This window comes from Homo sapiens, chromosome 1 (genome assembly GCF_000001405.40).
Source record: "Homo sapiens chromosome 1, GRCh38.p14 Primary Assembly".
In the NCBI taxonomy this organism is placed as follows: domain Eukaryota; kingdom Metazoa; phylum Chordata; class Mammalia; order Primates; family Hominidae; genus Homo; species Homo sapiens.
The window spans coordinates 85,134,822-85,162,148 of NC_000001.11; the positions used below are offsets into that span (position 1 = coordinate 85,134,822).

The window sequence follows — 27,327 nt, forward strand, 5'->3', positions numbered from 1 at the left end:
GTCCAAGCTGCATCATCATCAGCTTGGATTTTGCAGCAGCCTCCTGTTCTCCCTGTTTCTATGTTGTCATTTTCAGTCACTTTCAGCCACAGCCAGATGGTAGTTTTAAATGGATGCTGTCAGATGCTGTCATCCTTCTGCCCAGAATCCTTCCTCAACCTCATAGTATGATCACTCAGAGTATGTTCCCAATGCCTGTCTGTGCCCTGCAAGCCCTTGTACAGGCAGGCCTTCCACTGTCACCTGGTCCCATCCCTCCTTCCTCTCCCCTCCATCACACCCATCCCAGTCATGCTGGCCTCCTGTTCACCAAACATGCCAGGCATCTTCCTCTCCCTGGGCATCTGTGCTTGCTGTTCAGTACTTTCTCCAGAGATTTTTCTAATTTTATTTTCACGAGTTCACTCTAAAAAATGGTTTGTTTGTTTTTAAAGACAGGGCCTCACTCAGTTGCACAGGCTGGAGTGCAGTGATGCAATCATAGCTCACTGCAGCCTCAAGCTGTTGGGCTTAAGCAATCCTCTTGCCTCAGGCTCCTGAGTAGCTAGGACTACAGACACATACCACCACACCTGACTTTAAAAAAATATATTGAATGCCTTCTATGTGCCAGGGTCTACCATTTTAAACAGGATGGTCAGGGAAGGTGACACTTGAACAAGGCCTGAAAGAGGTGAGGGGTTTCACCTGTAGTCTTCTAGAAGTGTGTTCCATAACCCAGTCTCCCTCTCTTCAATGAAAAGAAGCTGGGACTACAGAGAACAGGTGTGTCATAACTGAGTGTCATAAACCATGACTGGAGGCTGAGCACATTGTTGTCTCAAATAAAAGCAGGGTGTTGTTAGCATAAAGGACTGGAGTAATGGATATTGAATAAGTGTCTGCCTTAGGGTTAGCAAATATAAAGCTTAGTATAGTGGCTAGCATACGGCAAGCAGTAAATATGTTTTGCCTGATTTACAAATACAAAATGGTTGTAACATTCTTGCTATAGAAACTAAACATGGGGCTCCTTATGGTTATGATAGCAGTTATTATTAGTTCAGTGTGATTTTTGTCTTTATTCTTTTTCTTTTTTCTTTTTTTTTTTTTTTTTTGAGATAGAGTCTCACTCTGTTGCCCAGGCTGGAGTGCAGTGGCTCGTTGTTGGCTCACTGCAACCTCTACCTCCCAGGTTCAAGTGATTCCCCTGCCTCAGCCTCCTGAGTAGCTGGTATTACAGGCATGTGCCACTATTCCCAGCTAATTTTTGTATTTTTAGCAGAGACAGGGTTTCACATGTTGGCCAGGCAGATCTTGAACTCCTGACCTCAAGTGATCCACCTGCCTCGGCTTCCCAAAGTGCTGGGATTACAGGCATGAGCTACTGCTCCCAGACCTGGTGTGGTGTTTTCATTGTGTGTTTATAACCTCAGTTTTCCTGAGTCTCATCACCTGTGGCCACCGAGAGGACACATAAGCAGCCATAGCCCAGGTTTCATGGGACCTTGGCCCACTTGCTTCTCAGGTATGCTAGCCTTCTGCAGAGTGCCCCCAAGTGTGTCCAGTGGCCACTGGGATGAAGATGGAGTCACATATGTTCAAGCCCACAACCACCAGGCACTCAGGGATCCCTTCTCTCAAAATGCTAGAGCTGCCTAATGGCCTGTAACGTGGGGGAAGGTGCTGGGACAATGCTTCTGGGTTAGTTCAAGTTCAGCGAGAAGCAAACACCAAGGCAGTAGCAGAGGTGCAAGAAGCAAGGCAGAGCCTTCAGAGCTCATGCAGGTCTGGTACCTATGGAAGAAAAGAGGAAAGGACAGAAGATGATACGATTCATCTCAGACCACTCAGCGTGGTTTAATTATTCATGATACCTCTCTTGGACACTAAGACTTTGAAACAGACAAACTCATAGTGATGTCTCTTCCTTCTCTGGGATGAGTTTTCTCTGAGGCTCTTCAACCCCTTAAGCTAAGGTCCTTTTGTTTGGCCCAGAACTTCCATTTGGCAGACAAGGCCAGGCATGCTGAATCCCAGTAAAGAACACAGCTGAGCCTCAAGCGAGGATGCTAACCACCTGTACTGAAGATGTAGGAATATCAGGTGTGAATGCAAATAGAATTAACTGGTATGCCTCCTTCCAATCCCCACAGCTCCAACCCTTTCCCCTACCACCCATTGTGAGTCGATCTGATCTTCTGACCTTAAGTCATTTGGTCTGGTCTACAGTGTAGTGAAAAGACAGGGGTCTTTAGGTCCTGGCAGACCTGAGTCCAAATCCCATCTTCATCACCTTGGGCAAACTGCACTATCCCCTAAGTCTTAGATGCCTTGTCTGTAAATGGGGATAATAATAATACCTAGCCTACCCCATACAAAGACAATGTATATAAAGCACCTGGAATATAGTTGGCGCTTAATGAATGTTGTTGCCTGTTCTTGCTTGGTCACAGGTGTATGTGCACACACAGACACACACACACACACACACCAGAGAAACGTAGTGTTTCCTCTTTGTTCTATGTAGTAATCTCTGATTTTAACTTTTTGTTGCCACTAATAATAACAGGAATGTTTCCCAGACTCAAATGCAACTTAAGCAGTGACTGTCCATGCCTGGTTTAATATTAGCCTTTGATCATCTTAATATGAGACCACAAGTGTTGGACATACTATTTAACATAAAATTTAAATAAATTTGAACAGCTTTCCTTTTTGCAGAACTGATAATGCTACTCAGAAAATTGATCATTCTAATATTTGATTAATTTCAATTAAATTTAATGATCATTCAGCTTTACAAATTGCTTTTTATCCGCCAAGAAACATGTAATTAAACCAGCATATTTTCAGGTCCTCAGATAAGCACATCGTGTGTGTGCACTTCAGATGAAAAGGCAATTAACTCCAGTTGGATGGTGGCCTAGGTGCTCTTCACGGCTTCACTAATCCAGCACTGTAAATAATTAACATCTCCCTGCACCCTTCTACCTTGGAGTGCTGCCCAGGGTCGGCGCTGCTCCACCGGGTTGCTAAGTTGCCATTGCCAGGGCAGATCTGTGCAACTGAGCAAGGTCCTCACAACGGAAATTAAATATCTCAGTGAAGGGCTGATGAACCCCTGTGTGGTCAATTTCCTCCTGCCATGGCTGATCAGCTCTCTGCGGGCACGGGCTCATGTGAAACAGCACACACTGTCAGAGCAGAACCCTGCACACCAGCAAAACCAGCCTTGGGAGCTTATTGGGAAACGATGGATTTTTAAAAGTTGTGTAATTGCTTTTAAATGCTTTCTTGTTAACAAATATGACATAAAAAGCATAGACGGTGAGTATGACAGATAATATAGGTTGTGTTTTTCTACAATGCCAATGCTCCAAACTTAAAAAGACAGAAAATAAGCTTTCCCAAACTCATCTGTATATGTGATATTCTGAGATGTTTTTATTCTTTTTTTTCTTAAGAAAAGGAAGAAAGTTGTAAAATAGAAGATTTCACATTCTTCCCTGTCAACTAGAGATGCATTTTCCAGTACTTTTTAGGAACCATATTTTTAAGAATAATAATTCCCTTTAGAGAAAAAAAAAACTTTAGAAAATAATGCTAAGTAAAATCTAAAATACAGAAAGTGTCTGCTTTGGCTGAGAATGGTGGCTCACACCTATAATCCCAGCACGTTGGGAAGCCGAGGCAGGTGGATCACCTGAGGTCAGGAGTTCAAGACCAGCCTGCCCAATATGGTGAAACCCTGTCTCTACTAAAAATACAAAAAATTAGCTGGGCCTGGTGGTGAGCACCTGTAATCTCAGCTACTCAGGAAGCTGAGGCAGGAGAATCACTTGAACCTGGGAGGCGGAGGTTGGAGTGGGCCGAGATTGCACCACTGCATTCCAGCCTAGGCGATGAGAGCAAAACTCTGTCTCAAAAAAAAAAAAAAAAAAAAAAAAGAAAAGAAAGTGTCTACTTTATTTCAGCCTTTGTAAAAAAGCTAAATTAACAATTGAATTGATACCAATTGTTCATTTATAGTGAAGTTTGTATGGATCTAAATATAACAAATATAAAACAGAGGCCAGTCATGGTTGCTCACTCCTGTAACCCCAAGACTAGCCCAGGCAACTTGGCAAAAGCCCATCTCTACTAAAAATACAAAAAAATTAGCCAGGTGTGGTGGTGTGTGCCTGTAATCCCATCTACTCCGGAGGCTGAGGCACAAGAGTCGCTTGAACCAGAGAAGGAGAGGTTGCAGTGAGCTGAGATCGTGCCACTGTACTTCAGCCTGGATGACAGAGTGAGACTGTCTCAAAAACAAAACAAAACAGAATAAACTCCCAATTATCCAGAATCCTAACAACCAATAGCTAGAACTTCATTATTTTCTAGTTCTGCAATGAACATTTATGACAACAAAAGACAAATAAGCAACTTTTTATTAAGGAGTTATCATCATGTGTAGAACCAAATTCAAGGTCCATCCAAATGTCAGAATTCATGTCTGCAGGACTGACAGTAATGACTGATGGTCATCAGTATAAAGACAGCTCATCTCAAGCTTTGTAATGTTGGGTAAATAACCTTTCTGATTCATTTCTTCATCCAACAAATGGGGATAATAACTCCCACTGCATGGAATTATAAAGATTAAATAAGATAAAACATATGAAAGCACTTTGTAAAGTCTAAGTGGTTTAAAAAAATATGTAAAATATATATTAAAATATTTTACATAGATGCTGAACTCCTTTGGGATTCTGAGGTCACTTTTGAATTATCAAAGGAAGTTTAATTATATTTATTGTAGTATATTTTTATTACATTGTAATTCCTGATAGTGTTTAATTAACAGTCAGCTTGGCCTGGCTTGGTGGCTCATGCCTGTAATCCCAGCACTTTGGGTGGCCGAGGCAGGCAGATCACCTGAAGTCAGGAGTTCAACACTAGCCTGGCCAACATGGTGAAAACTTGTACCTACTAAAAAAACAGCTAACCAAGATATCCATTCTCTTACCCTACTAGATGAATAATTTACATGTATTTGTAGCTAATTAGTTTAATAGTTATGTGGGTCCTCTCAGCAGATGAGAATAGGAAAAAAATAAAAAATAAAAACAAATGGATCTTAAAGTCTGAAACTTAGAAAAAGGGAAAAATATTAGACCTGGTCGTATGAAAGCCACTTGTTTAAAAGGCAGGATGACATTCTGTATGTTCCTTTCAACCCATCCATGTCAAGTAGGGAACCATGTAGCCATTACTCAATCATACATTTTATTTTTTAAGACTGTTGGAATTTTGTCTGCATTTCTCTAACAGGCACCTTAGCATCAGGAGAGGGCAAACTCCAGAAAAACACCTGGGCTATAAGTAGGGAGTACTTGTGAGGTGTCTAGTTCTCAGAAATGATATGCTGTAGACAGAATTTGAAATTAAAAAACTGCATCAGTTCATTATGAGAATCTCAATTTTAATTGATTGAGAGTAACAGAAAATCTGGACAGGGAGGAAGATGGCAGAAACCACTTGTGCTGGTCAAATATCCACGTGTACCTCTGCATTTACCAGCCTCCTTTGCAGTCAGATTGGAGCCTTTAACCGAATCCTAGCCAACAGGATGTAGGTGGAAGTGACGGAAGCCACTCCAGGCCTGACTTTAACTCATCTCATGAAACCTTCCAACTTCATCTCCCCATGCTATGTGTTCCAGAGGCCATAATTTACAAAGTAGAGAAAAGTTTCTCATTCTGTATCAGACTTTTCACAAGCAGGTGATAACCCTTTATCATATTAAACCACCGAGACTTCAGGGTTTATTTGTTATGCCATTAGCTAAGCCCATCCTGATGAACCCGGGCAGACTAGAGAGCACGCCGTCTTACTAGAACAGGTGTGCCCAACTCTCAGTTGGAACCCAGGATTTGAACTTAAATCTATGCACTGTTAATAAGACACCAGGAAAATTAAAAAGCCAAAGACATCAAAAGGAAAAAAACCTTTCCTGAATTGAAAATACCTGCGTCTACAGATTGAACGAGCATAAAATATTCTAAGCAAATTCCAAATTATGCAGTAAGTGGGTGAATTGAGATTTACATATCACTCCAAATCCTATGCTTTTAAATTCTCAGCACTGAAGCCGAAGTGGTCATTTAAAAATCAGGCCTGAAATCCTTCACTTCCCTGCTCACAACATTTCAATGGCTCCTCCTTGCCTCGGGGATTGGGTCTAATCTCTTTGCCTTCCTGTGGCATGGCCCTACTTGCTTGTAAACTCATCTCTTACAGCCTTGCTCTCCCCTACTTCTGCTCTAGCCATTTCACTCCATGCTGTTCTCCACACATGCTATATCCTCTCACCTCTGCTTCCTTGAAAATGATATTCCCTTTCCCTGGATAAAAAGCTACCAAAAATTCAAAAATGGTCTATGAATTAGTATGTTATGCAGCACAACAGCATCTATACACATTTGAAAAAGTATTCACATATAGTCCTCCTATGGAAAAATGAACAGTGCTCCAGGCAACCAAAGTAAATATAGACTAAATGGGATTACATCAAGCTAAAAAGCTTCACAGAGCGAAGGAAGCAGTCAGCAAAGTGAAGAGACAACCCACAGAATGGGAGAAAATATTTGCAAATTACCAATCTGACAAAAGATTAATAACCAGCATATATAAGGAGCTCAAACTACTGAATAGCAAAAGAACAATCGGATTAAAAAATGGGCAAAATATCTGAATAGGCATTTCTCAAAAGATGACAAATCCAACAGGTATATGAAAAAATGATCAACATCACTAATCATCAGAGTAATGCAAATCAAAACCACAATGAAATAGCATTTCACCCCAGTTAATGTGGCTTTTATCAAAAAGACAGGCAATAATGAATGCTGGCAAAGATGTAGAGAAAGAAGAACTACGCTGCTGGTGGGAATGTAAATTAGTACAACCACTGTGGAGAACAGTTTGGAGGTTCCTCAAAAGACTGAAAATAGAACTACCATATGATCCAGCAATTCCACCACTGGGTAGATCCTGAAAAGGAAGGAAATCAATATATCAAAGAGACATCTGCACTCCCATGTTTATTGCAGCCGTATTCACAACAGCCAAAACATGGAATCAACCTAAGTGCCTATCGACAGATGACTGGATAAAGAAAATGTGGTACACACAGTGGAATATTATTTAGCCATAAAAGAGAATGAAATCTTGCCACTTGCATCAACATGGATGGAACTTGAGGTTATGTTAAATGAAATAAAACAAGCACAGAAAAATATCACATGTACTAGTTCATTTGTGGGGGCTAAAAACGTGGATCTCATGAAGATGGAGAACAGATTGGTTGTTACCAGAGTCCAGGAAGGTGAGGGGGTGGTATGGGTGAAGAGAAGTTGATTAATGGGTACAAATATATGGTTTGATAGAAAAAATAAGACCTAGTGTTCAATAGATTAGTGGGGTGACTATAGTCAATAAAATCTATCGTAGATTTCAAAATAGCTGGAAGAGAATAATGTTTCTGGCATAAAGAAAAGACAAATATTTAAGGTGATGGATATTCCACGTGTACTGATTAATCTTTACAAACTACATAAATGTATTAAATGATCATATGTACCCTGAAACTACGTACATCTATGTGCATCAGTAGAAATTTTTGTTTAAAAATAATAAAGAGTGCTTATAAGAATTTGTTTAGAGATTATAAAAGGAATTGATCATGTGATATTAATAGCTTTAAAAGTCACATAGAGAAATATCTGAATCATAGTCTGGGCTTTGGAGTCAGAATTTTGAGCACTCAGCCACTTACAGCTTCAATCATTTAACCATGATGAGCTTCTGCTGCAGCAGAAGGAATTCTCAAAAGTGGAGCAATATTTCCCATTCCACCGGTTCTTGCCACATCCCATCAAGAGACAGACTCCATTTCCCCTCCTCTAGAAACTGGGTGGCACTTTGTGATTTCCTCGAACAACAGAATGCTGTGGAAATGACACTGCATCTCACCTGAAGCCAGGTCATCAAGGGTGAGACAGCTTCCACCTGGCTCTCTCTCACTGGGCACTCACCCTGGGAACCCAGCCACCATTGTGAGGCAGCTCACGGAGAGGGAGCATGGAGGTGTTCCAGTCAACAGCTCCAAATAAGGTTTCGGCCCATGGCCAGTGTCAGCCACCAGGCATGTGAGTGAATGAACCTTCAGATGATTCCAACCCTGAGCCTTCGAGCTACCCCAGCTGACGCAGAGCAGAGCAGAGATGAGCTTTCCCTGCCTTGACCTGTCCAAATGCACATTGGTGAGTAAAGCAAATGCTGTCATTTATTATTATTATTATTATTATTATTATTTTCGAACTGGAGCCTTGCTCTGTCACCCAGGCTGGAGTGCAGCAGCGTGATCTCGGCTCACTGCAACCTCTGCCTCCTGGGTTCAAGTGATTCTCCTGCCTCAGCCTCCTGAGTAGCTGGGATTATAGGCTCCCGCCACCACACCCGGCTAATTTTTGTATTTTTTGCATTCTTTTTTTTTTTTTTTTTTTCAGTAGAGACAGGCTTTCACCATGTTGGGCAGGCTGGTCTCAAAGTCCTGACCTCAGGTTATCTGCCCACCTCAGCCTCCCAAAGTGCTGGGATTATAAGCGTGAGCCACAGCACCCGGCCAATGCTGTCATCATTTTAAGCCACTAGGTTTTGGGACGGTTTATTATGTAGCAGTGGATAACTGGAAAAACCACTTCACATGGCTCTTGTGAGGATAAACTGAGACAGAATATATAAAATGCCCATTACATCGTCTGAAACATAGTAGATCCTCAGTAAATATTAGTTATTATACCTATAATGTGTCAATAACCGCTTCCATCTGCACATTGCCTTTTCCTCTTCTATAGTCAAATCTCCATTTGCCTCTCTTTCAGCAGAATCCCTGTGACTAAATTTAGGGCTCATCTAGATAATCCGGGACAATCTCCCCCTCAATATCCTTAGCTTAATTAAATCTATCAAATCCTTTTTGCTCTATAAGGTAACATTCACAGGTTCCAGAGATTAGGGCATGAATCTCTTTGGGGCCATTATTTGGGAAATTACCTCCCAAATAGTCGGTTTATTTCTTTCTACTTTGTTCCAGGAAAGATGATAAGGAAGTATAGTGTATCCTTGCCTTTAATACATACAATCCAGTAGACACAATAAGCTGTGTACTCAAATACCTAGAACAGAAAACAGGAAATAAGTGCTATGTGTCTTAAAAATTGATAAAGGTGAAAAAAAAAAAAGCCTATAAATAGCAGAAACCTCTAGAGAGTGGGATTGCAGATTCAGGACCGTATCAAAGCAAGGCCCTAGGAGTTTGGTGCAGCTAGAGTGCCGGCGGGGAGGGCAAAAAGCAGGTGAGTTGAGTTAAACCAGCCCCTACTTATATAATGAAAGGCTATTAGAAACTCATTGTTTATCACCAGTTTTACATATATAACTTTGTTTTGATGTCTGCAAACTACTGGGAAGAAAAGCAATTAAAAAGAACAATAACAAGCAACAAATTGAAAAAAAAAAAGCAAAATTAATTACAGAACATTGTGAATAGAGCTCTGTATTCATTTCCTGACAGACTACCATGAACTCTGTACCTTAAAACAAGAGAAATTTGTTCTCTCACAGTTCTAGAGACCAGAAGTTTGAAACCAGCAAAACCAGCAGGGCTAGTTCCATCTGGAAGCTCCAATGGAGAGAGACCCCTTCCTTGCCTCCTCCAACTTACTGTGGGCATTTGCTGGCTCGTAGCTGCATCACTCTAATCTCTGCTTCCACCTACACATTGCCTTCTCCTCTTCTTTAGTCAAATCTCCCCTTGCCTCCCTTTCAGAAGAACTCCTGTGACTACATTTAGGCCCCATCTAGATAATCCAGGAAAATCTCCCCATCTCAAAATCCTTAACTTAATCTGTCAAATCCTTTTTGCCGCATAAGGTAACATTCACAGGTTCCAGGGATTAGGGCATGGACGGCTTTGGGACCATTATTCAGGCTCCTACAACCTCATAAAAAGATTCCAAAGTTGGAGAGAAATTCTAATAAAGATTTTACTTACTAGTTTATTACTTTATGTGGAAAATAAAGGACAAAACATTAATAACGGGACACATAAAGGTCTGCCTCCAAGGGAATTGTGTGACTTAGTAAACAGAAAAGAAAAAATGTTGAGTTTGTGGATTAAAAAGCAAACTTGAAAGTGTGCCTCCTTCACTTTCTGCTGGCAAGGAAAAAAAAAAAAGAGAAAAGAAAGAACAAGAAAAAAATAAGGTTTTAAAGAAAAGAATTTAAAAAAAAAGAATTTAAAAAACACTTGACATACTTTCTCAGGAAAGCAAAAGCAGCCTGCACTGTGACTTAAACATAACAGTAGTAGAAATTCACTTTCATTGTTATTTCTCTCTCTATTTTTTGGCCTATAAAGGTCAGGCTCATAGAATAAGGAATTCATTGGTCTTCAGAGCATTCAAGGAATCAGTGGGTGGGGAGTGCTAACCGAGAAGCTGACAAAAGTGTTGACTTCTGGTACTAAAGAGAGAAAATAGATAAATGAAAAATGAAGCAGATGATAAAAAAAGAAATAGAAAAAAGAGAGAGAAAATATTGGCCAGAACAAAATTGTAATGTGCGGAAGGGATCTACATGTCCATCGGTAGGAAAATGGCAAAATATGTTCATCAGACAAGGACCCTTCAGCTGTGATGAGGAACATTCTTCATTCCAACAAGAAAGGAAGTTTACAAATTATCAAGGGAAAAATCAAGTTGCAAAACAATGTATCCAATATGACCCCACTTGTGTAAAACTGTGTATGTGTATTTGTACTAACATTCACATTTCTCTGTATGTATAGAAAAGTCTGGAAGTGTAGCCATCAATGTGTTCATTATGTTTACTTCTGAGGGATGGAATGGGAGAAGGGACAAGTGTGCAAGGCAAAGAGGGGACTTTTACCAGCCCCAGCGTTTATAAAGATCAGTACATGACTAATCTTTAACCTACACTCCTCACTCCATATTATTTTGAAGCAAAGATAAAAATTTTAATAGATCTCTGTTGCTTGAATATTTTTATAATAGGTCTTTATTATTTGATAATGGTTGTGTTTACTGCTGGAAACTGTTAATAGATGCCGTACTCCTAATAGCAATAGCTGTCATTTCCTATTACAGTGTGAGGCACTGTTCTTTTTTTAAATTCATGTCTTACTTAGATTTTGTAGGTATGTTTAATAAATTTAATACCCATTAAATTTAAATAGATGCATCTAGATAATATACTTTTTTTTTCTTTTTCTTATTATACTTTAAGTTCTGGGATACATGTGCAGAACATGCAGGTTTGTTACATAGGTATATGCGTGTCCTGGTGGTTTGCTGCACCCATCAACCCGTCATCTACGTTAGGTATTTCTGCTAATGCTATCTGTCCCCTTAGCCCCCAGGCCCCTGGCAGGCCCTGGTGTATAATGCTCCCCTCCCTGTGTCCATGTGTTCTCATTGTTCAACTCCTACTTATGAGTGAGAACAGGCAGTGTTTGGTTTTCTGTTCCTGTGTTAGTTTGCTGAGAATGATGGTTTCCAGCTTCATGTCCTTGCAAAGACATGAACCCCTCCTTTTTTATGGCTGCGCAGTATTCCATGGTGTATATGTGCCACATTTTCTTTACCCAGTCTATGGGCATTTGGGTTGGTTCCAAGTCTGCTATTGTGAATAGTGCTGCAATAAACATACATGTGCATGTGTCTTTATAGTAGAATGATTTATAATCCTTTGGGTATATACCCAGTAATGGAATTGCTGGGTCAACTGGTATTTCTGGTTCTAGATCCTTGAGGAATTGCTACACTGTCTTTCACAGTGGTTGAACTAATTTACATTCCCACCAACAGTGTAAAAGCGTTCCTATTTCTCCACGTCCTCTCCAGCATCTGTTGTTTCCTCACCTTTTAATGATCGCCATTCTAACTGGTGTGAGATGGTATCTCATTGTGGTTTTGATTTGCATTTCTCTGACGACCAGTGATGATGATGAGCTTTTTTTCATGTTTGTTGGCTGCATAGATGTCTTCTTTTGAGGAGTGTCTGTTCATATCCTTTGCCCACTTTTCGATGGGGTTGTTTTTTTTCTTGTAAAATTGTTTAAATTCCTTGTGGATTCTGGATATTAGACCTTTGTCAGATGAGTATCTTGCTATTACAAATTAGTCTGCTATGATAACTTCTGTACAAGTTTTCCTTACAGACATATGCATTCATTTCTTTTGGATAAATATCTAGGAATGGAATGTCTGGATTCTGTGGTATGTATATGTTGACTTTTTAAAGATAATACTAAATAAAAGTGGTTGTGCCATTTTACATTCCCACCTGCAGTATATGAGAGTCTCATTTCTTCCACATTCTTGCCAGTAGGGTCACTGTTTTCAAATTTAGCCATTCTAATTGCTGTGTGGTGGTATCTTTTTGTGGTTTTAATTTGCATTTCCTAATGACTAATGATAGTGGTTAATTTTCATGTCTTCATTTGCCATTCATATATACTCTTTCATGAAGTGTTTGTTCATGTATTTTGCTCATTGCAGGGAGCAAGGGGAGTGTTTTTTTAATTATTATTGAGGTTTTGGAATTTTTTATACATCCCAGATGCCAGCCATTATCAGATATATGCAAATATATACTCCCAATGTGGTTCATCTTCTTATTCTCTCAACAGGGTCTTTCAAAGTGCAGAAGTTTGTAAATTTGATGAAGTTCAGTTTATTAAAAAAAAAAAATTTTATGTATCATGTTTTTGGTGACCAATCTGAGAAATCTGTGCATAATCCAAGGTTTTCTTCTAGAAGTTTTATACTTTTAGGCTTTACATTTAGGTCTATTATGTATTTTGAGTTCACTTTTACATATGGTATGAGATGTGGATCAAAGCATTTTTTTCATGCAAATATTTTATTGTTGCAGCACCATTTGTTGAAAAGACTATTCTTTCTTCACTGAATTGTCTCATCAAAAATCAGTTGTCCGTATATGTATGAATCTATTTCTGAACTTTTATTCTATTGATTTGTCTATTTTGATGCCATTACTATACCATCTTGATTACTGTCACTTTATAAGTCACCTTAAAATCAGATAATGTTGGTCCTCCAACTCTGTTCTTTTTCAAAGTTGTTTTGGTTAGTCCTTCGTATGTGTATGTATATTTTAAAAATTTACATATGCAATTCTGACTTTCATAAAATTTCCACTAGGTGATTTGTTAGAAGCCCAACAACCTCCTTGTGACCTAGGCCCTGTTTAAATGCATTAAGGATATGGCTGATAATGGCTTAAGTACTGTTCCCTACTGGCTGAAGCTGAAAGTAGACCTGAGAAGTTGAGATGGCTAATACAAAAGCCAACAGTCTTTCAGAAGTGAACATAACATGGAACTGTAGCAGGAGCATCGAGGGACCCCACAGTTAGCAAAAAGAACCAACAGAACCTAAGGAATACTTCCAGTACTTTCTTAGGCATAGTTTAATATGCTCCCATTTTAAAATAAAGTACAAATAAACCCTATCCATCATTAACACTTTAGCATTTGAATCAGGTGATGAGAGCACATTCTTCCAGGCAAGATTGTAAAACCAAATGGAAGGCAAGATTTCCCTGGAGGTAGAGAAGGAGGAGACAGATTCTGTTGGGCACAGGAAGGAAAGGCAAGACTGCTTGGGATATCTGAGGCCCAAGGCAGCCAGAGGTGGCACATGGCCACTGGGGCCTGAGGGGAAAGGATTTACCAAAAGAGGTGAGAATATGCTGCTTTGACCACTTTGCAAATTAACTGGGTGCCCCATGGCAGCAATTGCCTAGTGATTACCTGGAAAATCTTTATGTGTGTGTGTGGTTTTTTTTTTTTTTTTTTGACTGCCTATGTGCAGTTCAGCATTTCCACTTCCTGCTCCATTTACAAAAGGGTCCCAAAGTTTATCTTGTGACATTTGGTCCTTTATTAAGAGGAAGCAATAGGTGGTCATTTTTAGAGGATAACATCCTGTGCTTTTACCATTTCCATAAAAGGGAGGGGATTTAGCTACTTCTCAAGAGAAAAGAGTATGAGAGAATCACTTCCAGCTTCTCTTTAAACCCCTAATTTACTGTTCCCCAAGTCACAAAGAATGACTCATCTGAGTAGTGAATTGAGAAGAACTTGAGCATGCTTGGCTAGGGGCCTTCTGCATTCTCTCACCACACACCAGCCTGTTGGTAATACATACTTTTATGGTGCTGACAGCCTCTGCCCATGCCAGGAGAGGTCTTTTTTCATTAACTCCACCAGTGACTAGGTGGGGATGATCAGATCACAGAGGATATATGAAGAAGCCCACTTGGCCATAGACCCAAGTCATATTCTCCAGCTTACCTTTGTCAAAAGTAAATTTGGTATTTTGATCTCTATGTCTGGCTCCTATGCCCTGGTTCTAATCTTAGGAAGGAAAGATACATTTTTGGTGGTTTCCTACCAACCCTATGTTGGTAGTTCAGGCGAAAATATGCTGGTAGGAAAGGGTTAAAAGTGTGAGAGGAAACAAAATGAAAAAAAAAAAAATGTGTTCAGGGAAACAGCACTGAGAAGTCCTCAAGGCAGAAATGCAGGCTGTAAGAATTGGGCTTTAGCTCTGTTCCTGCCAGTGTGGAACCTACAGGGTTCATGAAGAATGGGCCCCATTTGGGACACAATCTCAGACTGCAGACAGACCCTCCCCAACCCTGCTATAGGAGACCTTTCACTCTCTCTATCGCCAGCTCCGGGTGGGAATTAGTCAAGTGTCTTACCTAGACATGGTGCTTTTGTTCCTTAAAAAGAAAACAGACTGGTGTTATCTGTGTGTTCAACTTTCAATGCAGCTTTGACTTTTCTTGTGTCCCAACATTTGTGATAGAAAAGATGGAGATTGTCTTAGTCCACTTTGTGTTGCTATAAAGGAAAACCTGAGGCTAAGCAATTTATAAAGGAAAAAGGTTTATTTGACTCATGATTCTGGTGGCCAGAAAGTTCAAGATTGGGTGAGGGCTGCTGGCTGCTTCCATTCACAGGAGAAGGTGAAGGAGAGACAGTGTATGCACAGGTCACGTGGCGAGGAAGGGGTGGTGGTGGAGGGAGAGTGTGCAAGGAAGTGCTAGGCTATTTTTAACAACTGGCTGTATTGGAATGAATACAGTGAGAATTCACTCCTTACTCCACCTCCCAGGGAGGGCATTAATCTATTCATGAGGAATCTGCCTCCATGACCCAAACAACTTTCACCTCCCAAGACACCACACTGAGGACTAAATTTTGACAAGAGATTTGGTGGAGACAAACAAACCATATCCAGACCATAGCAGAGACTAAACTCAGTATTTCCCAAAGTGTGGTATGCATGTTAAGGTGTACATAACTGTACATAGAGCTCACACCTTAATTATCTCAATAGTTGTGAATTCATTTTAGTGTATAGAAAAAACTGTTTAACTCGTTAATGACAAGTGATACTGGTTTTCCATATATGGCAGCAGTGTGAAGTTTTACATTTCAATTTTTTTCAATTGAAAAAATAATTTTAGATAAAATAAAGTAATATTACACACAGTATTTAAATATGGTAGAAATTGTGCAGGTTGTCTGTGAATGATGGGAGTCTAGGATAGCTAAAAGTAATTTGGTAAGAATTACAAGATATACCTAAGGTCAGGAGTTCACGACCAGTCTGGCCGACATGGTGAAACCCCAGCTGTACTAAAAATACAAAAATTAGCTGGGTGTGGTGGCACGTGCCTGTAATCCCAGCTACTCAGGAGGCTGAGACAGAATTGCTTGAACCCGGGAAGCAGAGGTTGCAGTGAGCCGAGATCACACCGCTACACTCCAGCCTGGGTGACAGAACAGGACTCCATCTCAAAAAAAAGAAATAATTACAAGATATTCATTACTTGTATACAAATGAATACAAAATATTCATTACTTTTTAGAAGCTATTAATAGCAATGTTGGTTCTAACAGTGATGAATTCTAAGATTTGTGATGAACTAATACCACAAATCTTTTAGAGGTTAATTATAATCACACAAAGTTCACCAACAATTGAATCTTTTTTTTTGGCTTCCAAAATGACACTTACTGTGAAATATCCTGATTTACCCACCCACTGACTTGTAGTCACTAATTTTCCCAAGACCACTTTAACTATAAAAAAAAGACAAGTCGTTTTTTAAAAAGAGATAAAACATTACTCTCTTAACCACAAATAATTACTCAGGAGTGAATATTTTTAAAATTATGTAGACATTGCGATTATAGTACTTAGTCTTTTCCTAATGTCCTGATGCCTGCAACTTACTTTGAAATGCACAAAAAAATATGACAAATAATGGATAGATATGTGATTGAGCAAATATAACAAAAAGCTTATAAATTATAGAATCTGGATGCTAGATATATGGGTATTCACCATAAAATTTTCAATTTTTCTATAAAGTTGAAAGTGTTCATAAACGTTGAGGGAAAAGACACTGGTATGGCTTCTTTTATGTATATTTCCTTGGCTTTATAGGTGAATTTGATATAGAGTACAGATCAAATGTAGATTTATAACCTTGGACAGATGGCACTTTATGCTCTGACATTTCTTATCTACCAGCCTAGACAAGTAGTTTTCACTTACCTAACGATTCAAACTTGCTCTTAGGTTAAAGAGTGGGTTTTACAATGGCCACAGGGGGAGAAAAGGCAAAAACAGACGCAAACAGGCTGGCAACCTGCATCTCGTTTCTTGAACAAAGGTCAAGAACAAGGGGTCACCGTTCAATATCTGCAGCTGTGAAAAAAATGTGAGCTGCAGGCATGCTGTTTCATAACTTTCACACAAAAAAGTCTTGAATGTGAGGGGCTTTCCTGTTTCTTCATTAAATGTGTACTGCACTTTTCTAAAGTTGAAATTTTAAACTCTCTTTGGAAAATTATTTTGAAGAGTGGAATTTCCAAAGTATATAGAATATAGAGGGCAACACCAAGTTTCTACTACATCTATACCTCCATTAAGCAAGAAAGCCAGATTAACCCAAATAACTTAAAAGCATGTCAAGTGGCCTTATGAAACAAATAAGAATGAAGTTAACCCAACCCAAGGGCAATGTTTACGCATTTTCTCATTGCTTAAAACAAGCACTTGACATTGAGGAAAATAAAAACATTAAATGTAGTGCCTGTCCCTCAAAGTGGTTTCTCTGCTATTTTTTCTAATAAGGAAGAGTTCTACTTATAGGGTTCATTCAAGTTTATGAAAATGTTTTAACAAAATGAAAAATAGTTTTTTCCAGTTCTAGAGAAAGTGCATATGAAGTAAATTAGGTCAAAATTAAGAGGATATATTTTGCTCTTTATGATTTCTATAAAGAAATGATGCATTTTAACAAAATATTTCTTAAAGATGTTTCTTTGTCATGGTGAGATGTGCATTTTCATACACATATCACATAAATAATTGTTTCGACTGTGTTCTGCAGCAAAGAAATGCTACAAAAAATCACCCCAAATTTACCCACCGACTTGTAGTCATTAATTTTCCCAAGACCACTTTAACTATAAAAAAGACAAGCCATTTTTAAAAAAGAGATAACATTACTCTCTTAACCACAAATAATTTATTACTCAGGAGTGAATATTTTTAAAATTATGTAGACATTGCGATTATAGTACTTAGTCTTTTCCTAACAAAAAGACAACCATTCTCAAGTATCTTATTACAGTTATTCATTGATTAACAATTAATTGAACAGCTTCTATGTTATAGTCCCTAGGCATATGGCAATGAACTAGATTGTTATACAAAGTCCCTGCTGCCATGGAGATTACATTCTACAGGAGTGGACATAGACAATAAATGAATAAACAAATAAATAAATGAGATAATTTCAGATAATGATAAAGCCTTGAAGCCCAGGTGATAGACAAAAAGTGACAATGGATGTGGGTGTAGTTTTTTAAACATTTTTCTTCTTAAATTTGGTTTAAATGTAAACATTTACCAAAGTGATAAATATCTGCAGTTTAGTCAGATAGTACCATAAGTATTTATTAATAGCATTTATTACAAAAAAACCCAGAAATCTCCATCTGCTTCTTCCCCTTATTCTCAGAGCAGGCTGTTCAGAAGCAGGCTCTTTGAAGTGACATTTGAGCAGAGAAGCGAATGACAAAAAGGAACTGCTTAAGTAACATCTGGATAAAGAGCTTTCCAGACAGGGGCAATGGCAAGAGCAGAGAGCCTCAGACAGCAATGAGGGTCCCCAGTGTTGCTAGAGCCAGGGAGCAAGGGAGAAGGCCTAGGAAATGATGCAGTATATCTTTTTCATAGTAGCTTCCATGAATAGACTGGATCGTGGGTGTAGAGAGGGGAGAGTGATAGCAGAGAGGAAATATGAGATTGAGGGATGATGGTGGCTTGGACTAGGGTATTAGCAGTGACAAACTCCAATGCAGTTTAAGACACACAGCACTTAGACCTGTTGATGGCTGGGATATACAGGGGGGACAGGGTAAGAAAGACTCCAATTTTGGAGCAACAGGGTTCAGATGATTAGGAAAGTGTTGTGTATATTTGTCACTGTTTTGCCTGCTCGGCATCCAAATCTCCTTCTGCGATCATAGAATCTACTTACTATGTAAATTCTAAGAAAGGATGCAAGCTAATTCCTCTCTGCCTCCTGGAAGCTGGAGTACAATCTCATGCTTCTGTCTGGGACTGTGAATCAGGAGTAATGGAGAATGAGGATGTTTTCTAACTAACTCCAGTGGGGAGTACATGAGGCTGCTTAGTGACAGTGACAGCAACAGCAGTGTCATAACCAGGTATGGCCTTGATTGCTGTCATTCTGACGACCTAGCCTCTCTTAGTTTCTGTTTCTTTTCCAAGTCTATTTCTCAAGCTTGCCCATTAAAAAAAATTTAAAAAGAGGTATGACATATAAAGGGCACAAATCTTAAGTATGCAACCTGATATGTAAACACCTATGAAACCACCACCTAGACCAAAATATAAAAGACTTTCAGCACCCTCAAAGTCTTCCCTTTGATACACTATTTTCTCAACAAATTCAATTTCTGCCTGAGTTAGCAAGTCCATTTCAGGCTGAGGCAGAATGCAATCAAGAAATCTGACTTGTGGCACTTCAGTGTTTATCACATATGACCCTTTTGCATTCAGAGTGAAAATTGGTCAGGAAAAACAGCAAAAGAGCATTTTTGTACCAAAGTCCTCAAGTGAGTAAGCCTCAAATTAAGACTTGTTATTATTAATCATAATACAACTTTATCATACCAAAGTACCTAAAAATTGATATATTTAATTTATAAAATCTTAACCATCAAACTCAATCTGTGGTCTGGAAACTAAATTCTTTTCAGGGACCCTACCAGTACTCAACCTTGTTTCTTTAGGGTCCCTAACATGTAAAGCTACATAATCTAAAATTTTCCAGACAGTTATTTATTTTTCATTTTTTATTTTTTGAGACGGAGTCTCGCTCTGTCGCCCAGGCTGGAGTGCAGTGGCGCAATCTCGGCTCACTGCAACCTCTTCTGGCCTTCTTATTCTAGTAGTAACTCTATGAGCACCATCACCAAGTACAGAGGCATTAGTACTAATCGTTAACAGGACATTATAAGACATTTTAATAACTACTATATTAACAACACCAACGTCCAATAGAAGGAACTCACTGAAAAAACATGGAGTCATTTCAATCTCATTTGATGGCGCTCCATCATTCAGCTGCTCAGGCCCTACTCCTTTCATAGTCCACTGGCAGATTCTTTTAGCTCCTGCTTCAAAATATATCCAGAATCCAACCATATCTCACCATCTCTATTGTTTCTATCCTTGTCCGAATCTTTCTAGCCTGGACTACTGCAAAACTGGATGCTTGAAGGTAATAGTGAAATGTCTTCAAAATTCTAAAGAAAAATGAGTTTGAACATAGAACTGCAGGCCCAATAAAAATAAAGTGTGAGGAAAAAATAAAGGCCTTGTCAAACACACAAGGACTCCTAGTTTCTCTCCCATGCACCCTTTCTGGGGGAAAAAAAGGCACCTGTAAATATACTTCAGCAAACAGAAAAGACAAATTCAAGAAAGAATGCAGCAAAAAAAAAAAAAAAAGAAAAGAAAAAGAAAAAAGAAAAGAAAGAAAAGAAAGAAAAAAAAAATAGGAGTACAAAGAAAATACATCCCAAGATGATAGCTAAAAATCACTTTGTCCTAATTTGATGAAGCTGATTAAGAAGCATAAAATGATCTCGGGGTTAGAGTGAAGAACATACTTCCTTCCTTCCTGTCAATTCTGTCAAAGAAAAATAAAGACAAGAATATAGTTCCAGAATCCCAAGATGAGAGCTAAAAGCACTCTGAACAAATCTGGTAATTCAATAGTATGATTAAAAGAAGAGCTACAGTAAAGCAAGTGTTTTTCTTCTGTCGAGAAATAAAAGCAGGCTGGAAGCAGTGGCTCATACTGTAATCCCAGCACTTTGGGAGACTGAGGCGGAAAGGATCGCTTGAGCCTACAAATTTGAGACCAGTCCTGGCAACATAACAATACCCCGTCTCTATTGAAAGATTTTTTTTAAAAAAAAAGAAATAAAAGCAATTACTTACTCCAGGAACCATTAAAGTATGCAAAAGCCATGACCCAATTACGTAGCAAATGACACATGGCATGATTTGGGGAAGTTGACGACTGGCTATAAAAGAATCCATTTGGCCTTTATGTATGAAGCATTCTGCTTAAATCAGCACAGACTTAAGGATATAAGATAGATACATAGAAGGAGATAAATCACCTGGTTTACCTGTGCATACTTTTGCATAGTGTGACTGCTAGTTACTGATTTGCAGTGTTTAGAATAAATATACAGTATACAGTATATACAATATACAAATAAATATACAGTATAAAGGGAAAACTATACATCTATTAAAACTGATTATATAAACTAATAGTATAACTTAAGAGAAGTTAGGAGGTAAAGGACAGTAATGGAAGGGAAGTACAAGGTTGGTCATTTCCTCAATGTTATGGAAATATATTTAAAGTCAATGGATCAAAAAAATTATTAACTACAGTTATAAAGGAGAACAAATGAACTAAAAACATAACAAAAATGGTGAGAAGGAATGAAGTGAGATAAACTGTTTATCATTCATAGAATAACAAATTTGGCTTAAATGATAAGAAACAGCAGCAAGAAACGTGCTGTTAACCTCTAAGAGGTGAAATTGGTGTGGATGGCAGACAGAAACACTTGTACTTTTATTTTCTATCCATCTGAATTGTTTAGAATTTTTATTCAGGTACATGCTCTAAAATTAAAATTGTTTTTAATCCTAAAAAACATTAGGGGCTGGGCATAGTGGCTCACGCCTGTAATCCTTGCACTTTGGGAGGCTGAGGCGGGTGGATCGCTTGAGCCCAGGAATTTGAGACCAGCCTGGGCAATATACTGAGATCTTGTCTCTATTAAAAAAAAAAAAGAAAAGAAAAAGAAAAATTAAAGCTGGCAGCCTCAGAAAGGAGCAACAGTTGACACTACAGAAAGATCCTAGGAAATTATAAAAAGCAGGTATAAAAACTCGCAAAAAATATTTGAAGTAAAATGCCATTTAAAGTAAAGACATCTAAACTTATCCAACACTTCTGGTACAGCAGAGTCAATAAAAGCAGTTTATAGCTATAACTCGGTGATGAGACAACAAAAAAATGATAGAATTCTCTAAGAGGGCAGAGATCAACTTTAAAACTATTCTCATCCAAAATAATATAGTAATATAGTAATACAAGCATGGCCCTTAAAAGTATTTCAGATTCTGGAAAATTCTGGACAAATAAATGTTATTTACATATATTGATGGATAATACATGATGGTCCAAAATTTTAACACCTTTGCTTAAAAAGAATATTAAAATAAGTGATCCTTAAAACCATTATAATAGCATAACACGAAGATTATAATATTTTAATAAAATTTTTACATTTCTAGAGCAATTTATTCAATTCATACATGATATAGCAACAAAAGGAAGGAAACTGAGACAGCTTTCCTATAAAACATTCAAGAGTACTTTCCTTTGACTGTTTACTCAATATATATGTTCTCTTGGTATTCTTCTGAATTGTTAACACAAAGTTTTAAAAAATGAAAATTTCATATAAAAATATTTATCTTTTTTAACAATGGGTTTTCAAATTAAATAATGTCTGTTTATCAATATTTATTGCATAGAAATATTTTAAGTACTTTAATATTTAGAAAAACATCAGGAAGCCAGTTTTTCAATGGCTGCCATGTCTTAAAAGTTGGTAACTTAAAGTCTATTTATAATTTTAAAATTACATATTCTGTAGATATAAAAGTTAAAAAAATACATTTTGATTTAATACAAAAGCCTTCTAAATTTACATTTTCAAACATTACTGTGATTCTATAACATTGTATATATACTTAGCCAAAATAAGTTAATTTTTAAAAATCAGTAACATGTAATATGCTGGCAAGACTATTTAGAAACAAATGGGGGTAATTATAAAGTCAATGTTATAAATGTACTACTACAAATAAATAATTAAAACAAAGCAGAATATAAAAATGCATAGAACAGGAGCAGATTTATTAAATCTAAGTCACCAGTGCAGAAATCTGGGTACTTAATCCCTTAAGGAGTTAGAGGATTTCAAATTTAAAAGATGACTTTTCCCAGGGGACATTGTGACTTTCTGTGAATAAAGGAAAGAAAGTCTATTATTTCTATTCAGATGCTTCTAGAGTATTATTGTTCAAGTGTTTTTATGTAATTCCTCCTTTAATTTAAATGTTCTTTCCCTGAAAAAAATACTTTAAGATAATAATTTTGGCCTCATGACATATATACTTTAAAAATACATGTGATTCTACAATAACCCCTCCCCCATCCTGATATCTATACATATATGCATTTATAAATATATACAGTTTCAGGATTATAAAAATATTTAATTTTTATAAGCTTAAATAATTACTGTTAATACAGAAAACATTAATACTTGTATAATTTCACTTTTATTTATAAAAAGATTTTCTTATAGCAGCATTTGCATTACAAATAAAATTTGACCAAAGGATGTTGCAGTGTACCAGGACCAGTACTGCAAATCAGACTGAGCAGCTGTGATGTTCCTCTAAAAGAACATCTAGAGGCCAGGCGCAGTGGCTCACGCCTGTAATCCCAGCACTTTGGGAGGCCAAGGTGGGCGGATCATCTGAGATCAGGAGTTCGAGACCAGCCTGGCCAACATGGTGAAACCCCATCTTTACTAAAAATACAATAATTAGCTGGGCATGGTGGTGGGCCCCGTCATCACAGCTACTCGGGAGGCTGTGGCAGGAGAATCACTTGAACCAGGGAGGTGGAGGTTGCAGTGACCTGAGATCGCACCAGTGCACTCCAGCCTGGGCGACAGAGTGAGACTCTGTCTCAAAAAACAACAAAAAAAAGGACATCTGTCTCAGCTACAGAAGAGTGGTTCCCATAAAGCAGAAAAACCTTGAGGGGCTAATAACTTATGTGAACCTTCTTAAGTGCATTTGAAAGTTATCTCCATAGAGTTGGCAAGATTTAGTAAAATATCCCAAGAAGTCCAAGTTTTATTGATCCCCAGAAAAGTTTTCTAGTGAGATAAGTAAAAATTGTATTAATGAATAGTGTTTTTAATTGAATCAGATAAACTTATTAAAAATTAATTAAAGATTTCAAGAGTAAAAAAATGAAAACATCGCTGTGGGTGGTATAAGAAAATAAAACAAAAACAGATTTGAAACTTTAAGACATTACAAAAAAAAACCCTCAATCTCAAAAACTCATATTAAGCTTGTTTTTGTTGAGCTCACGTTCCAGATTTCCAATCAAAGTATCAATACTTTCTTGTAGATCTTTGAGATTGTTTTTTCGATCCACTGTAGACTCAACTGTCTGCATTGTCAAATATGTCTGAAATGTACACTCTTTGGACATGGGAATTGGCTGTTCAATCATTACTTCTGGCCCATCCATTTTGCTATAATTTTCTCCGATTTTTCTATCTTCTGAAGGGACATCATCATAATCCACATCATTTAAATTTTCTTTTGTATTTAAAAAGTAGTTTTCCCCACAGCTGCTCCAGTCTCCTGCATAACGATTGCTAAGTGGACTGTCTAATCGGTTTTGCCTTGGCCTAAGTACTCCTGATGAATCAGTACCACTCAAATTTAACATATGAGGTCGTTCTTTCTTCTGCCTCAGATAATTCAGAGAAGACTTCTGCTCTGGGAATAAATTGTCTGTTGATTTTTTGACAGTTAAACGCTGCACTAGAAACAAACAATAATTTTGCTTTAGTGACAGTAATCCAACTGAACTTAAAAAAAAAACAGAGCTAAAGATAAGCCATTTAATCATCAACTACAAACATGCATTAAAACAAAAACATGCACTCTGTCAAAAGAAAGCATTCCATAATTATTTTTTATTACCAGAAATAATCTAGATTAAGGATAGAAGCAGTATAACGTTCCATGGTGCTAATTCATGCTACATCATAACGTCCCCAAACAAATCACATTTCCAATGTCGATTAATTTTCTATGCAACTTTATTATTATCTAGCTATAATTCAAACAATAGCTAAGCTGGTAGCTTCTCCTAAATTAAAAGCTACAGCAAAAAGCAGGCAAGGCATATTGGTGTACAAACAAAATATAACAAGAAGTTCCTTTGTCTGCAAACATCTAAATGAGGCAAAGGCATCTAAAGTGATCAGCCTAGTAAGTTCCGACCCTTGTGGGCTTTTCTGCAATTCTATTAGCATCAGAGTCATAGTTTACTAAGCAGATCAAATTTCACTTTGATAAAATGTACAAATACTAGATTTGACCACTTTGTTACCTGAGTTTGATTATACAGCATTATCTACTATCTTCATTTATTGCCTGGAAATAGTACAGATATTTTATTTTCTCATTCTGGTTAGGTATTTAACAATCCCAAATAACATTTTCCACATTAAGACTAGTTTATTCTGAGAGTATGCATTGTGCTAGCCATATAGACGATTACCACAGAGACACACATTACTTCATTACAAACCAAGGTTTACTCTTGTGTGTTGAACAAAATATTTAAGGCTATTCTGTATATAAAATAGACAATTTAAAATGCTGACACATAGCTATTAAAGATTACCCATAATATCTTTCTCTTTCTGCATGAATAAGTGCCCCTTCCTATTTCCCTGCACTAAGATAAAGCAACATAAATCAGTGATAACACACCAACTTTATACTCTCCAATATATAATGAATGCTTGTTTGCTGTTGTATAAAATAAGACAACTGAAAAACTATAAAAACATATATATGGTTCTAGTTTTCCAGACTTAAAGTGATATTCATAACATTTTTCATAGATCTCACACTTTTTTAAATTTAGATTTTATTGAAATATTTGATAACTGTACACAGGTATGTTTTTAACATTTCTATTGCATTTTAAAGATGGTTATTATGTATCACTATAGATAGCCAAAATTTCTTGATCTAAAATTTTCTAGAAAATAAAAGCTATTTACTTTAAATTGATCTTTAATGTTAGTATTAATATAGAATGGTCCATACCATCAACTGATGTAAGTGCAGAATGGATAACTGATTTTTCCACTGTGTAATTATTCATATTCTTTTTCTTCCTCTAGCTGCTTATCACCACTATCTCCTTGCTTTTCCCCCCTCATTCTTTGTGCTATTCCTTTTCTTTTTAGTGCTTAACTGTCATGCCTGTTGTTTTCACCAACCAATTACAATATTCTGCTAGCCTTGAGGTTATCTGGTCTGATCTAACCATGTATTTTTGCTTTATGTCTTAAAATTGTCCTATTGTGCCTGCATTTTCAGACATTTGCCTGCAAAATCCAGATTCATTTTGTTGCCAGTCGCTTAGAGTTACTCACCTAAGACCCTACTGAAACATTGTTTCTGTGTATTATCTTGGAAAATATTAAGAAACCAATTAAACTGATATTTTATATCTTTTAGACTAAAAATTTCAATTTCTGAAAAACCAACATCACTGACTTTTTAGACTACTGATGTCAGAGTGGTTTACAACTAAATATACGGTGAAAATGGCTAATTTTAACCTCAAAAGTTCTGGTTTTCCCATCACTGTTGACTACCCACCTTCAGTAGAACAAAATTAAAAATGCAGTCTATAAGGTTGCTGAAAAAGAATTCAAAATGTAATAAGTACTAAGAAACTTAATTTTTCCTTATCTTGTTTTCTACCAGTAGATTTGTTTCTAATTAGTACTTTATTATCCTTTTATCTATAATTACCTTATTTAACCCAAATACTCTGCTAGGACCTGGGAATATAAAGTTAAAAAGAATCCCCAATGTCACCAAACTTAAAATCTTGTAAGAAAGATGAAATAAAAAGAAATAAGAGGAAAACTGATACCTTTTCCAAAAAACTTGCCCCAAATATATTTATCATAGAAAATGTGGTATAGTGGCCAGGTGGTGGCTCACGCCTGTAATCCCAGCACTTTGGGAGGCCAAGGCAGGCAGATCACTTGAAGTCAGGAGTTCGAGATTGGCCTGGCCAATATGGTGAAACCCCATCTCTACTAAAAATACAAAAATTAGCTGGGCGCAGTGGTACACGCCTGTAATCCCAGCCACTCAAGAGGCTGAGGTAGGAGAACTGCTTGAACCTGAGAGGCAAAGGTTTCAGTGAGTCAAGATTGCGCCAGTGCACTCCAACCTGGGCGACACAGTGAGACTCCATCTCAAAAAAAAAAAAAAAAAGAAAGAAAATGTGGTATAGCAAGGATCTAGGAATTATACTCTCTCTAAATTGATTTATCCATCTTTAAAGTGATAGGGGGGCCAGGAGTATTATTTTCAGTATTCTTAAAACAGAAAATGAATATCTAAAAGAAACATTTTTGTGAAAACTCAATACATAAAACAGATAAAAAAGAAGGCTGTTCTGGTCAACGGGAAGTGTGTTTCCATTTTGTTCCCCCATCCCTTGCTGATCTGGCTTCTAAGCTGCTTCCAAAGAACCCTAGAGCTTAGTAGAAGACAATCTAAAAAAGTATTGGCAGGACGACTTTTACCTTCTAATGCTGATACGCTGAAGTTCTAACCAATTACTTTGAAGACAGGATTTTTCAAATATAAATCTCAAAGCAAATTATCTTCTTGCCCA

At 37.5% G+C, this 27,327-nt stretch overlaps 1 protein-coding gene across 3 annotated transcripts in view, besides 2 other annotated features; it reads right to left on the minus strand.

Annotated features, from left to right (window-relative positions):
• Nucleotides 14,005-14,134: an enhancer, noted in NCBI's record as "active region_1266". NCBI's record gives its function as "activates an Ori minimal core promoter by ATAC-STARR-seq in GM12878 lymphoblastoid cells {active_cell/tissue: GM12878}" and the evidence as "EXISTENCE:reporter gene assay evidence [ECO:0000049][PMID:35858748]".
• Nucleotides 17,670-27,327, minus strand: part of SYDE2 (synapse defective Rho GTPase homolog 2) — a 48,526-nt gene continuing 38,868 nt past the window's right edge. The window contains exons 7-8 of one of the 3 annotated variants that reach the window (XM_017002484.3): nt 25,003-25,046; nt 22,068-24,428 (exon numbers count right to left, since the gene is read on the minus strand). In XM_017002484.3, the coding sequence (XP_016857973.2) occupies nt 25,036-25,046 (11 nt within the window). In that variant the 3' untranslated portion in view covers nt 22,068-24,428; nt 25,003-25,035. Of the gene's footprint in view, nt 24,429-25,002; nt 25,047-27,327 lie in introns of all 3 variants that reach the window. The other 2 variants (XM_017002483.2, NM_032184.2) reach the window with 2 other exon arrangements.
• Nucleotides 18,009-18,510: an enhancer, noted in NCBI's record as "NANOG hESC enhancer chr1:85618513-85619014 (GRCh37/hg19 assembly coordinates)". NCBI's record gives its function as "activates a minimal SCP1, AML or CMV promoter by ChIP-STARR-seq in naive H9 embryonic stem cells {active_cell/tissue: H9 hESC(naive)}" and the evidence as "EXISTENCE:reporter gene assay evidence [ECO:0000049][PMID:30033119]".